The sequence below is a fragment of the Homo sapiens genome, chromosome 14, assembly GCF_000001405.40.
Source record: "Homo sapiens chromosome 14, GRCh38.p14 Primary Assembly".
In the NCBI taxonomy this organism is placed as follows: domain Eukaryota; kingdom Metazoa; phylum Chordata; class Mammalia; order Primates; family Hominidae; genus Homo; species Homo sapiens.
The window spans coordinates 55,014,135-55,026,884 of record NC_000014.9 but is presented as its reverse complement, the minus strand read 5'-3'; the positions used below and the strand labels follow the sequence as shown (position 1 = coordinate 55,026,884).

At 39.5% G+C, this 12,750-nt stretch overlaps 1 protein-coding gene across 3 annotated transcripts in view; it reads left to right on the top strand.

The window, feature by feature from the left end:
* WDHD1 (WD repeat and HMG-box DNA binding protein 1) overlaps positions 1 to 12,750 on the top strand; it is an 88,151-nt gene that overhangs the window by 215 nt on the left and 75,186 nt on the right. For 2 of the 3 annotated variants that reach the window (XM_006720012.2, NM_007086.4), the window contains exon 2: positions 82 to 174. The exons of the other annotated variant lie outside the window; for it this stretch is intronic. In XM_006720012.2, coding sequence (XP_006720075.1) covers positions 98 to 174 — 77 coding nt within the window. In that variant the 5' untranslated portion in view covers positions 82 to 97. The remainder of the gene's footprint in view (positions 1 to 81; positions 175 to 12,750) is intronic. 3 annotated transcript variants of the gene reach the window in all.

The window sequence follows — 12,750 nt, the reverse complement described above, 5'->3', positions numbered from 1 at the left end:
GACTAAGCTCTCTTCCTATCCCTAGCCTCGCTGCTTTTCTCTTTTGAAATAATAAGACTGGCTTTTATAAAACATTTTCAGATAGGTAAAGGAAAACATGCCTGCCACACGGAAGCCAATGAGATATGGGCATACAGAGGGACACACGGAGGTCTGTTTTGATGATTCTGGGAGGTAAGGTTCTTTGAGAAACAACGTTTTAGGTGCAAATGTTAAAACATTTATCCTTAAACTTTATATGTGCAGTCAGCTAAAAATGACTCATGCGGATAGAGGAATAATGTTGAAATCTAAAATGGCACACATATTTCTTTAGATTATTGTTTGATTCGGGCCGTCATGGTAGTTGTAGTATATCGACAAAGTTATAATCGTACTTCCAGAGGAGTTGGAAAGATGCGAGCTTCTCTCCATATATTTTCCCCTTCCCTGCATCTTACATTATTAATTTTGTCAGATCACTAGTTACTGCCTACTTGTCAAATTCAGTGGCCTGTTCTGTTTGGAATGATATCCTTCCATGCCTTTAGTGATGCTATTTCCCTTTTTGCTTATTTTTTTTTAACTTTTTGACGGCTTAAAACAATTTTTTCCTCTGATTCCTAAACTATAATATTTTCCTACGGTTATTCTGGTCCCTTTTATCTTTCCAAGTCCCATTCTTACGCACTACTGCTCGATTGCACGGCTTCCACTGTCGCTTCTATGTTGATTGATTCATTGAAAAAATACTTGTGTGTCTCTTTTGCTGGGGACTACAGATAGAATAGAGCGAACCAGACACAGTCTTTTCCTCCTTTGAGCTTAAGGTCTTTTTGGATTGACAGGCATTGAACACAAATTAATCACAAAAATAAATGTGTATTTAGAAACAAGTAATATGTGCAGTGATAAACATGTATGAGGAGAAGCTCATCTAGTTAAAGGAGTCAGGGAAGGCTTCTTTGGACAAGTGTTTCTTGAGACGCCATCTGAAGACGGAGCAGGCATTAAGCAGTATAAAGAGATGAGTGGTGGTGGCGGTGGGGTGGTGATGTTGGCATAGTAAGCAGAGGCAATACTGTGTGTAAAGGCCCAATGGGGCCAGGGATCATGGTATGCTCAAAGAACTGAAGGAAAACTAGCCTTACTAAAATGTGGAGAGTGATGCAGAGTTTAGTGAGAGATGAATCTGTGAAGTTAGGCAATGGATGTCCTATCCAAGACCTTCTGGACTTTATTAAGGAATCTCGTTTTATCCTAAAAGCACTGAGAAGGTATTAAAGGCTTGAAGCAGAGAGATGTGATCAGGTTTGTTTTTGAGAAAATGCATGGAGGATGAATTGGAAAAGGAGCACTCATGGATGCAGAAAGACTGTTAGAAGATACCTGTATTAGTTTGTGTAGGGGCGGGTTGCCCCTCCACACTTGTGGGTGTTTCTCGTAAGGTGGAACGAGAGACTTAGGAAAGAAAAAGACACAGAGACTAAGTATAGAGAAAGAAATAAGGGGACCCGGGGAACCAGCGTTCAGCATATGGAGGATCCCGCCAGCCTCTGAGTTCCCTTAGTATTTATTCATCATTTGTGGGTGTTTCTCGAAGAGGGGGATGTGTCAGGGTCACAAGACAATTGTGGGGAGAGGGTCAGCAGACAAACACGTGAACAAAGGTCTTTGCATCATAGACAATGTAAAGGATTAAGCGCTGTGCTTTTAGATATGCATACACATAAACATCTCAATGCTTTACAAAGCAGTATTGCTGCCCGCAGGTCCCACCTCCAGCCCTAAGGCGGTTTTTCCCTATCTCAGTAGATGGAGCATACAATCGGGTTTTATACCGAGACATTCCATTGCCCAGGGACAGGCAGGAGACAGATGCCTTCCTCTTGTCTCAACTGCAAGAGGCATTCCTTCCTCTTTTACTAATCCTCCTCAGCACAGACCCTTTACGGGACGGTCAGGTCTTTCCCTTCCCACGAGGCCATATTTCAGACTATCACATGGGGAGAAACCTTGGACAATACCTGGCTTTCCTAGGCAGAGGTCCCTGCGGCCTTCCGCAGTTTTTGTGTCCCTGGGTACTTGAGATTAGGGAGTGGTGATGACTCTTAAGGAGCATGCTGCCTTCAAGCATCTGTTTAACAAAGCACATCTTGCACCGCCCTTAATCCATTTAACTCTGAGTTGACACAGCACACGTTTCAGAGAGCACGGGGTTGGGGGTAAGGTTATAGATTAACAGAATCTCAAGGCAGAAGAATTTTTCTTAGTACATAACAAAATGGAGTCTCTTATGTCTACTTCTTTCTACACAGACACAGTAACAATCTGATCTCTCTTGCTTTTCCCCACAAGTTTGGGTAAGTGTGATAGAAGCTTGGACTAGAGTAAACATGGGTGTGTAGAAAAGAGTAAACATTCAGGAAATATTTAAAAAGATAAAGTCAACAGGATGGATCAGATATTAAGGATGGAGAAAGAGGCAACAGGGATAACGTCTACATTTCTGAATGTTACGGTTGAGAAAGTGATGCTTCCACTTGCAAATAACAGGAACACTTGAAGAAGGGCGTATTTCAGAGGTAGAGCTGTGGGTGGAGATTGAGTTTGCGTTTGGATGTGATTATTGTAGGATTTCTTTGAGATATTCACCTAGAGGGATAAAGTAGACAGTTGGATAATTGTGTCTCAAGCTCAGAGAAAAATGTGAGCTAGAGATAGAAATATACAATTGACCCTTAACATGAATTTGAATTGTGTATGTCTACTTATACGTGGATTTTTTTCAATACACATATTAGAAAATTTTTGGCAGTTTCTAACAATTTGAAAAAACTAGCAGACGAACCATGTAGCCTAGAAATATGGAAAAATTAAGAAAAAGTATGTCATGAGTGCATAAAATCTATGTAGATACTAGCGTATTTTATCATTTACTACCATAAAATATACACAAATCTATTATAAAAAGTTGAAATGTACTAAAATTTACACACTCAAACATTTCCAGACCATCCGCAGTCAAGAGAAATGTAAACAAACATAAAGATGCAGTGTTAAATCGTCACTACATAAAATTAACTGTAGTATATACTGTATTACTGTAATAATTTCATAGCCACCTCCTGTTGCTATTTCGGTAAGCTTAAGTGTTGTATCTGCTTAAAACACTGTATGAGGTTGTATCTGCTTAAAACACTGTATGATGCTCATGAGCAGTTTGTCTCTCCAGTAAATTGCCTATCCCAGTAAAAAGACATCTCTGGTGATTCTCATATATTTTTCATCATGTTTAGTCCAATGCCGTAAACTTTGAATAACACCATGGGAATCATATGAAGTGCCACTAGTGATGCTGGACATACTCCTAAGAAGCAGACAAAAGTCATGACATTAAGAGAGAAAAGTTGAATTGCCTGATAATGTACTGTAGATTGAGGTCTGCAGTTGCGGTTGCTCACAATTTCAAGATAAATGAATCCAGTGTAAGGACCACTGTGAAAAGGAAATTTGAGACACTGTTACTGCAGCTATGCCAGCAGGCATGAAAACCTTGCACTTTTTGTGAAATAACTTTATCTTGTATTGAAAACGCAGCTTTTATGTGGGTATAGGATTGCAATAGAAAGGCATAGCTATAGACTCTAATGTGGTTCCAGAAAAAGTGAAGTCATTATCTGACAACTTAAAGTGAAAGGTAGGTGAAGGATCTAAAGCTGGAAAGTTTAATACCAGCAGAGGATAGTTTGATAATATCAGAAAGAGATTTGGCTTCGAAAATGTCAAGATGGCCGGGTGTGATGGCTCACACCTGTAATCCCAGCATTTTGGGAGGCCGAGGTGGGTGGATCACCTGAGGTCAGAGCATGCCCAACGTGTTGAAACCCTGTCTCTACTAAAAATGCAAAAAATTAGCCAGGCACAGTGGCAGGCACCTGTAATCCCAGCTACTCAGGAGGCTGAAGCAGGAGAATCACTTGAACCCGGGAGGTGGAGGTTGCAGTGAGCCAAGATTATGCCATTGCACTCCAGCCTGGGGATCAAGAGCGAAACTCCATCTCAAAAAAAAAAAAAAAAAGAAAGAGAAAGGGTCAAGATGGCAATAGAATCAGCTTCTGCTGACCAAGAGACAGCAGATTCCCAGACACCATTACGAAAATCATTGAGGAGAAAGGACATCTGCCTGAACAGGTTTTTTGTTTGTTTGTTTGTTTTGTTTTTTTGAGATGGAGTCTAGCTGTCTCACCGGCTGGAGTGCAGTGGCGCGATCTTAGCTCACTGCAACCTCCGCCTCCTGGGTTCAAGCGATTTTTCTACCTCAGCCTCCCGAGTAGCTGGGATTACAGGCATACACCACCACACACAGCTAATTTTTATATTTTTAGTAGAGACGGGGTTTTGCCATGTTGGCCAGGCTGGTGAACAGGTTTTTAATGTAGACTAAAGTGCCCTATTCTGTGGGGGGAAAAATGCCACAAAGAACATTTATTAGTAAGGAAGGAAAGTGAGCACTAAGATTTAAGGCAGGAAGGCTAACTCTAATGTTTGGTGCAAATACAATCAGATTTGTGATCAGAACTGCCATTATTTATAAAGCTACTAACCCCCGGGCCTTGAAGGGAAAAGATAAACTCCAGTCTCTTAGTTGTATAACAAAAAGACCTAGACAATGAGAACCTTCTTTTCTGGATTGGTTTCACTGATGCTTTGTGCCTGAAGTCAGAAAGTATCTTGCTAGTAAGGGACTGCCTTTAAAATTCTTTTAATGTTGGGCAATGCCCCTGGCCACCCAGAACACCATAAGTTCAATACTGAAGGTGTCAAACTGGTATACTTGCCCCCAAACACAATGTCTCGAATTCAACCTCTAGATGAGGAGTTCATACAGGCCTTTACGGGCTCATTACATAAACTAATCTATGGAAAGGATTGTCATTGCTATGGAAGAGAACCCCAGTAGAGAGAACATCCTAAAAGTCTGGAAGGATTATACCATTGAAGATGCCATCATTGTTATAGAAAAAGCTCTGAAGGCCATCGAGCCCGAAACAAATTCCTGCTGGAGAAAACTGTGTCCAGACGTTGTGCATGACTTAAGATTGACAGCAGAGCCAGTCAAGGAAATCATGAAGGAGATTGTGGGTATGGCAAAAAAGATAAGGGAGCGAAGTAATTTCAAGATATAGACCTTGGAGACATTCAAGAGGTAGCAGACATGGCTGGGCGCGGTGGCTCACACCTGTAATCCCAGCACTTTGGGAGGCCCAGGCAGATGGATCACTTGAGGTCAGGAGTTTGAGATCAGCCTGGCCAACATGATGAGACCCCGGTCTCTACCAAAAACATAAAAAATTGGCTGGGTATGTTGGCATACGCCTGTAATCCCACACTCCACCTTCTCTCAGGAGGTGGAGGTTGCAGTGAGCCGAGATTGTGCCGCTGCACATTCCAGGCTGGCCAACAAAGCAAAACTCTGTCTCCAAAAAAAAAAAAAAGGAACGCTAATAGACACTAAACCGAAGAGTTAGCAGAAGACAATTTGATAGAAATGAGTTCTTCCTAACTACTGCCAAGTGATAAGGAAGAAGATGTAGAAGAAGTAGTGCCAGAAAACAAATTGACTTTAGGCAATCTGGCAGAAGGGTTCTGATTATTCAAGACTGCTTTTGACTTATTTTACAACATAGACCCTTCTATGTTATGAGCACTGAAACTAAAGGAAATGGTGGAAGAAGGATTGGTACTGTATAGAAACATTTTTAGAGAAATTAAAAAGGAAAAGAGTCAGACGGAAATTATGATGTGTTTTTATAAGGTCACACCAAGTATGCCTGCCTCTCCTGCCTCCTCCTCTACTTCCTCCCCCTCTTCCACCTCTGAGACAGTAAGACCAACTCCTCTTCGTGTTCCCCGTCAGCCTTCTCACTGTGAAGACGATAAGGATGAAGACCTTTATGATGATCTACTTCCACTTAATAAATAGTAAATATTTTTTCTCCTCTTTATGATTTTCCTGATATATTTTTTCTCTATATTGCTGTATTGTACAGATACAGTATATAATACATAGACAAAATATGTGTTAATTGTTTATGTTATCAGTAAGGCTTCTACTCAACAGTAGGCTGTTAGTAAAGTTTTAGGATAATCAAAACTTCTATGTGGATTTTTGACTGTTTAGGGGTTGGAACCTGTAATGCCCATGTTGTTCAAGGGTCACCTTTACATCTTTGGCTGATACCTTCCAGAGTTCAGGGTTGAGGTTCTGGCTAAGAATATAAATGTGAGAATTGTCCTTATAAACATAATATTTATTACTGTGAACTTGGATGAAGTCACCTAGGGAAGGAGTAAATATAGGTAAGAAAAGAGGTTCAAGGATACTCCAAAATATTTAGAGATCAAGTTAAAGAGGATCCAGCTAAGGAGACTAAGAAAGAGTAGCTAGAAAAGTAGAGAACTGAAAGACAAGAAGGATGTTTAGAAGCCAAATGAAGTGTTTGAGGAACAGGAAATAATAGACTCTGTCAAATGCTCCTGGTGAGTCAGGTTGAAGACTGAGAATTCACCATTAGATTTAGCAATGTGGAGGCCATTGGCAAGTTTTATGGAATGGTAAGAATGAAAACCTTGAAGTGGATTCAAGATAATGGAAGGGGAGGAATTTGAATTAGTGAGGTTGACACTACGTGGTTTTGATTTTGTCTCTAGTACCAGTGGGGTATAGAAAGTAATCAGTCACTACTTAAGAGGGCTGAAGAGGAAGCAGTGACCCCAGAAGAATGACCAGAAAGAAAGCTGAGTATATAGAGATTTTGCTTGTGCCTCACCATGAACCTCATGAGACTCAATGATTAAGAGTCAAGAAGAGGTGGTCAGATTAGGGAAGGAATGTTGCTCTCTGAGGATAGAGTTGAGGTAGTAAGAAATGCGTTGGTAATCATTGACTCCTTGAGGTTATGTCATAAAGCTGATGAAGTCTTGATATAATTAATCTTCATGCCCAGACACTGATAGCGGATTTCTTTTTTGTTGAGATGGAGTCTAGCTCTGTCGCCCAGGCTGGAGTGCAGTGGCACGATCTCGGCTCACTGTAACCTCTGCCTCCTGGGTTCAAGTGATTCTCTCTCCTCAGCCTCCCAAGTAGCTGGGATCACAGATGCCCTCCGCAACAGCTGGCTAATTTTTGTATTTTTAGTAGAGACAAGGTTTCGTCATGTTGGCCAGGCTAGTCTTGAACTCCTGACCTCAATTGATCCACCAGCCTTGGCCTCCCAAAGTGCTGGGGTTACAGGCATGAGCCACCACACCCCGCCTTACTCTTTATTATTTTAAAGTAAATCCCATACATCTTATAACTAAAATCTGGTTTATTGGGGGTAGAACCTAGTAGAACAATGCTTTAGCAAGAGTCATGAATCAAAAAAGAGAAGGCACAAATAAAATAATATTAGAGATAAAAAAGGTACAATATAGGCTTCAAAATACGTGAATACATTGACACCCTTATGCCAATAGTTTTGAAAATTTGAAACAAAGGTATAATTTTCTAGGAATATGTAAATTAACAACTTACCCAGTTTACCTAAGAAAAAAATAAAAATATTTATTTACATTGATTATCCAAACATTAAACATATGATCTAAATGTTAACATATGTAAGATAATCATTTCTGGTACATATTTATGTGCTTTAATCAGTTTCTTAGCCTGTCTGTCCCATGGTATTGCTGATATTTTTCTGAAAAATATATTTTTAATACAGTGTTATTTTAATTTTTCTCATAAAAAATTAGCTGTAGCCTTGTTTAGAGTTGCATTTTATGCTGAATAAATTTGAAGTTAAATCTTCAATTCTTTTCTTTTTTTTATTTGTTTGAGTCAGAGTTTCACTCTTGTTGCCCAGGCTGGAGTGCAATGGCACCATCTCGGCCCACTGTAACCTCTGCCTCCCAGGTTCAAGCAATTCTCCTGCCTCAGCCTCCCAAGTAGCTGGGATTACAGGCATGCGCCACCATGCCTGGATAATTTAGTATTTTTAGTAGAGATGGGGTTTCTCCATTGTTGGTCAGGCTGGTCTCGCCTCCCAAAGTGCTGGGATTACAGGCGTGAGCCACCATGCCTGGCCTAGACTATAATATTTTTTAATGAGAAAAATGTTAGGTTCTAAGGTACTTGGCAGGCTCAGAGCAAATTCTACTAGCTGGGAGAGTCATAATTTTTAAGAATTTGTTTTAATTGAAATGGGTAAATACTTCAGCCTCAGTATTTTTATAGGTTCTGTCTTTTTATCTCCATTCAGGGTACACTTCTTCAATAATAGGGTCTTCACTGTTTTTAAGGACAAAATTCATCAAGTTGTCTATGATTCTTTTGGATGTTTCACAGATTTTAAGCCTACTCTTTTATTTCATTCTGGCACAGAACATAAATTAATACAATTAAAAATAGGAGTTCTATCAAAATATTCTTCCCACAAGTCAAGATATTCCAAAGTACAGTTACAGAATTTTAAAATGAAATCATTCACCATTTCAGCTTTTCATGTACAATTTGTTCAATTCTTATTTGCTTTTGTAGGGATAAATTTCAGTGTCTTCCTGTGCATAAGTTTTGTTTTCATGAATTGCATTTCACTAAAAGCTTCAAAAGCTTAAGTTTAATGCTTTGATTAAAGATGTCTGTTTTCAACTAAATGCAACTAAGATTTAGAGGACTTGTTTCTAATAATAATAATACCATTATTACAGTAGGACACTTAGGTTGTTTTACAGAGTCGCTCGCTCTTCAAAGGCTTAAAGATTTTAAAAACCCAATCACTCCAAGCAGAGGGAGAAAGTATGTCCTGCAATGCTAGTATTTTTTGTGTATTTAATTAACATCGGTTTGTGCGCTGCTGAGGTGGGAGGATTGCTTGAGGCCAGGAGGTCTAGTAGTTTTTCTGTATATCACATTGATTTGTGTGCAGCTGAGGTGGGAGGATTGCTTGAGCCCAGGTCAAGCCTGCAGTGAGCCGTGGTAGGGCCACTGCACTCCAGCCTGGGCAACAAAAACAGAAACAAAACATGTTTTTTTCAAAAATTCTGTTGTTCAGCAATTCTAGATATAAATAAAATCTGAAAATTTGACAAGTATGGCTTCTTTTTTGTTGGTGTGTTATCTTGCAGCTCATTTGGATAGAATCATGAATTGTAATTCCAAATTCAAGTACTTTTGTGTTTCACAGATTTCCTAATATAGTAAGAACATTGATTTTTCTGGCTGGGTGCAGTGGCTTACGTCTGTAATTCCAGCACTTTGGAAAGCTGAGGTAGGTGTATCACTTGAGGTCAAGAGTTCGAGACCAGGCTGGCCAACATGGTGAAACCCCATCTCTATGAAAATACGAAATTTAGCCAGGTGTGGGTGGTGCGTGCCTGTAATACTAGCTACTTGGGAGGCTGAGGCAGGAGAATCACTTGAACCTGGGAAGTGGAGGTTGCAGTGACCCGAGATGGTGCCACTGCACTCCAGCCTGAGCAACAGAGCAAGGCCCTGTTTCAAAAAGAAAAAAAAAGAATATTGATTTTTCCTACAGCACTGTAGAAAACAATAAAATTAATATGTAGTTATTTGATACAATAAAGGATAAAACCATTTAGAAGAATGTTTAGACTACTCTAAAAGCACTTCTTTCGCAGGACTGCTGAACGCTATTTCCTGCCAAAGTTTGTATTTGTATTACTGTAAAAATTAAGAATTTTATCATTAGTGTTAAACTTTTCAAATAAATTTAGATAGAATCCCCACTGATGTCAGATATTTCACTTTCAGCAGAATGAACTTCCAGAAGATTTACTTTGTTTCCATGAACTGAAGAGTAAACTAAACTATTATTGGAATTAATACGGGCGATTTTCTATTTAAAACTCCTGATGACATTGATATAATACTTTTATCATTTAACTGTTTGAAAGTTCTTTTGCTGTCTATGGCCATACCACCCTGAACGCACCTGATCTCATCTGAAAGTTCTTTTGATAATGGAGACAACCCATTAACAGTCACTTCACTTTTTATGCTTGCACCAGAAAACTTGGAATGAAAAATGAACAAAATTATTTTAGAACAACTGACATTTCTTTTAATGCTGCGCTGTCCAATACAGTAGCTACTAGCCACATGCAGCTATGTAGGTTTAAATCAATTAAGGTTAACTTCGTTAAAAAGTCAGTTTGTCTGTCACATTAGCCACATTTCAATTGCTCAGTACCAGGTATAGACCATTTTCATCACCTCAGAAAGTTGTTTTGGAGAGCACTGAGTTCTTAGGAAGAATCATGCTTCACAAGATATAAATCACCTTCTGCAGGAGTAGAATCACAGTTTTTAGGCAGCCTTCTCAAGATAACTACTAACTTGAATAGATACTGATGCTTCTTCGGGACTTCTTTCTCTTCTAATTTTCTTGTGGTTGGTGTTATCACTATAGTATGACTGTAGCCCCGTGGTAAATGTCAACAAACATTTTATTCAAGTTATATTTTCATTATCAACTTTCCTGAGAAGAAGAAATTTAGTATTTAATCTTTTATTAAATATGTACTTGATATACTTTTTTAGCTCATTACCACTGAAAGGGTTGTGTTGGTTTTCATTTTTTTCCCAAAATTTCAAAAGCATAGCAATCAATAAAATTAATATGTAGTTAGTTATTTGATACAATAAAGGACAAAACCATTTAGAAAAACATTCAGACTACTCTAAAAGCTCTTTAGAAGATTGCTTAACTCTATTTTCTGCCTTTATTTCTTATTAATTCTACTATATTTCACTATAATTTTCCATTGGTCCCACCAACTGGCACCTGTAACTTTGTACGTCTCCTCCAGTGCATCTGCTGATACACCAAGAAGCCCATCGGGGCTGGGTGTGGTGGCTCATGCCTATAATCCCAGCACTTTGAGAGGCCGAGGTGGGTGGATCACCTGAGGTCAGGAGTTCAAGACCAGCCTGGCCAACATGGTGGAACCCCATCTCTACTAAAAACACAAAGATTAGCTGGGTGTGGTGGCGCACGCCTGCAGTCCCAGCTACTTGGGAGGCTGAGGCAGGAGAATCACTTGAACCCGGGAGGCAGAGGTTGCAGTGAGCTGTGATAGCACCACTGCACTTCAGCCTGGGCGACAGAGTGAGACTGTGTCTCAAAAAAAAAAAAAAAAATTCCATTGGAACAAAAACGTGAAATACTTCTCTCATCACCATTGGGACTGAAAGAAGTAGCTATCCCTAGGGTCTTACATCTGAATCCATTCCGTTTTTTATTGAATGCCTCACATGTTGTCCCCGAAAGGATTTGTTAGTCACATTGCATCAGGAAAGGGTAGGAAAAGGGGAGATAGCTTATCACTAGTCATTTTACAGATTTAACCATGTGTTATGTGTGTTATGTTACCAAATGAGACCATGGCAGAAGCTGGAAGTACAAAGAAGAGGTCTGCCAAACCCACCCTAGCCTTTTTTTTTTTTTTTTTTTTTTTTTTGAGACAGTGTCATGCTGTTTCCCAGGCTACAGTAGTGCGATCTCGGCTCACTGCATCCTCTGCTTCCTGGGTTCAAATGATTCTCATGCCTCAGCCTCTGGAGTAGCTGGGATTACAGGTGTGCACAGCACTATGTCTGACTAATGTTTGTATTTTTAGTAGACTCAGGGTTTTGCCATGTTGGTCAGGCTCCACCCTAGCCAATTTTGATGCAACTAATACTAATATGTTTTAAAGTGAAAATTCCTGGACAATGCCAGGCCAGTTGGACACATAAACCAGGAGTATCTCAGGCAAACTGAGACTTATAGTCCTCCTATCTACTCTCTATAGAAGGGAGCCTAACCACCTTACTCTGGCATTAAGGTTATTCTAAATAGGTGACCTAGACTTCATTTTCCTTTTTCTTTCCTGGCTTGTCTGCTCCAGGTAAACTCCCCCATGCTGTATTAACTATATTTTTTTTCATGTGGTTTTCTCTGGAACTGCCCTTGTCACCAGTCTTAGCATATCTAGTCCTGCTTGTTCTTTGACTTCCCAGTGTAAATACCATCTTTCTTATGAATCTTTTTGACTTTCTCAGGTGAGAATTAATCTTTTTCTTTTGAACATCCACAGCTCTTTATATAGATTTTTTTTGCTGTTTATTATATGTTATTTTTGTATTTTATTATGTACATTATATTTTGTGTTTTTATTTGCTTTTTTGTATGTGTGTAGATAGGGCACATACTAAATGAGTAAAAGCATTTGGAAGATAAGTTTAAAACAAGTTATGATAGATACAGATGGTTATTTGAAACACGTTTGGATAGTTGAGCTCATACATCTATTCATTTATTAATTCAACAAACATTTATTAAGGTTTCTGTCAGAGACTGTTTGGTGCTAGGGATACAATGGTGGACAAGGAAGATACGGTCCCTATTTTATTGTTGCAGATTATATACCCATCTTTCTTACATTCTTACAAATAAATAATTTTATGCTGGCCAAGCATGGTGACTCATGTCTGTAATCCCTTGACTTTGGGAGGTCAAGACAGGCAGATCCCTTGAGCCCAGGAGCTCAAGACCAGCCTGGGCAACGTAGGGACACCCTGTCTCTACAAAAAATAAATTAGCCAGGCATGGTGGCATGCGCCTGTAGTCCCAGCGACCTGGGGAGCTGAAGTGGTTTGATCACTTGAGCCTGGGAGGCGGAGGGTTTAGAGAGCTATAATCATGATACTGCCTAGGCAACAGA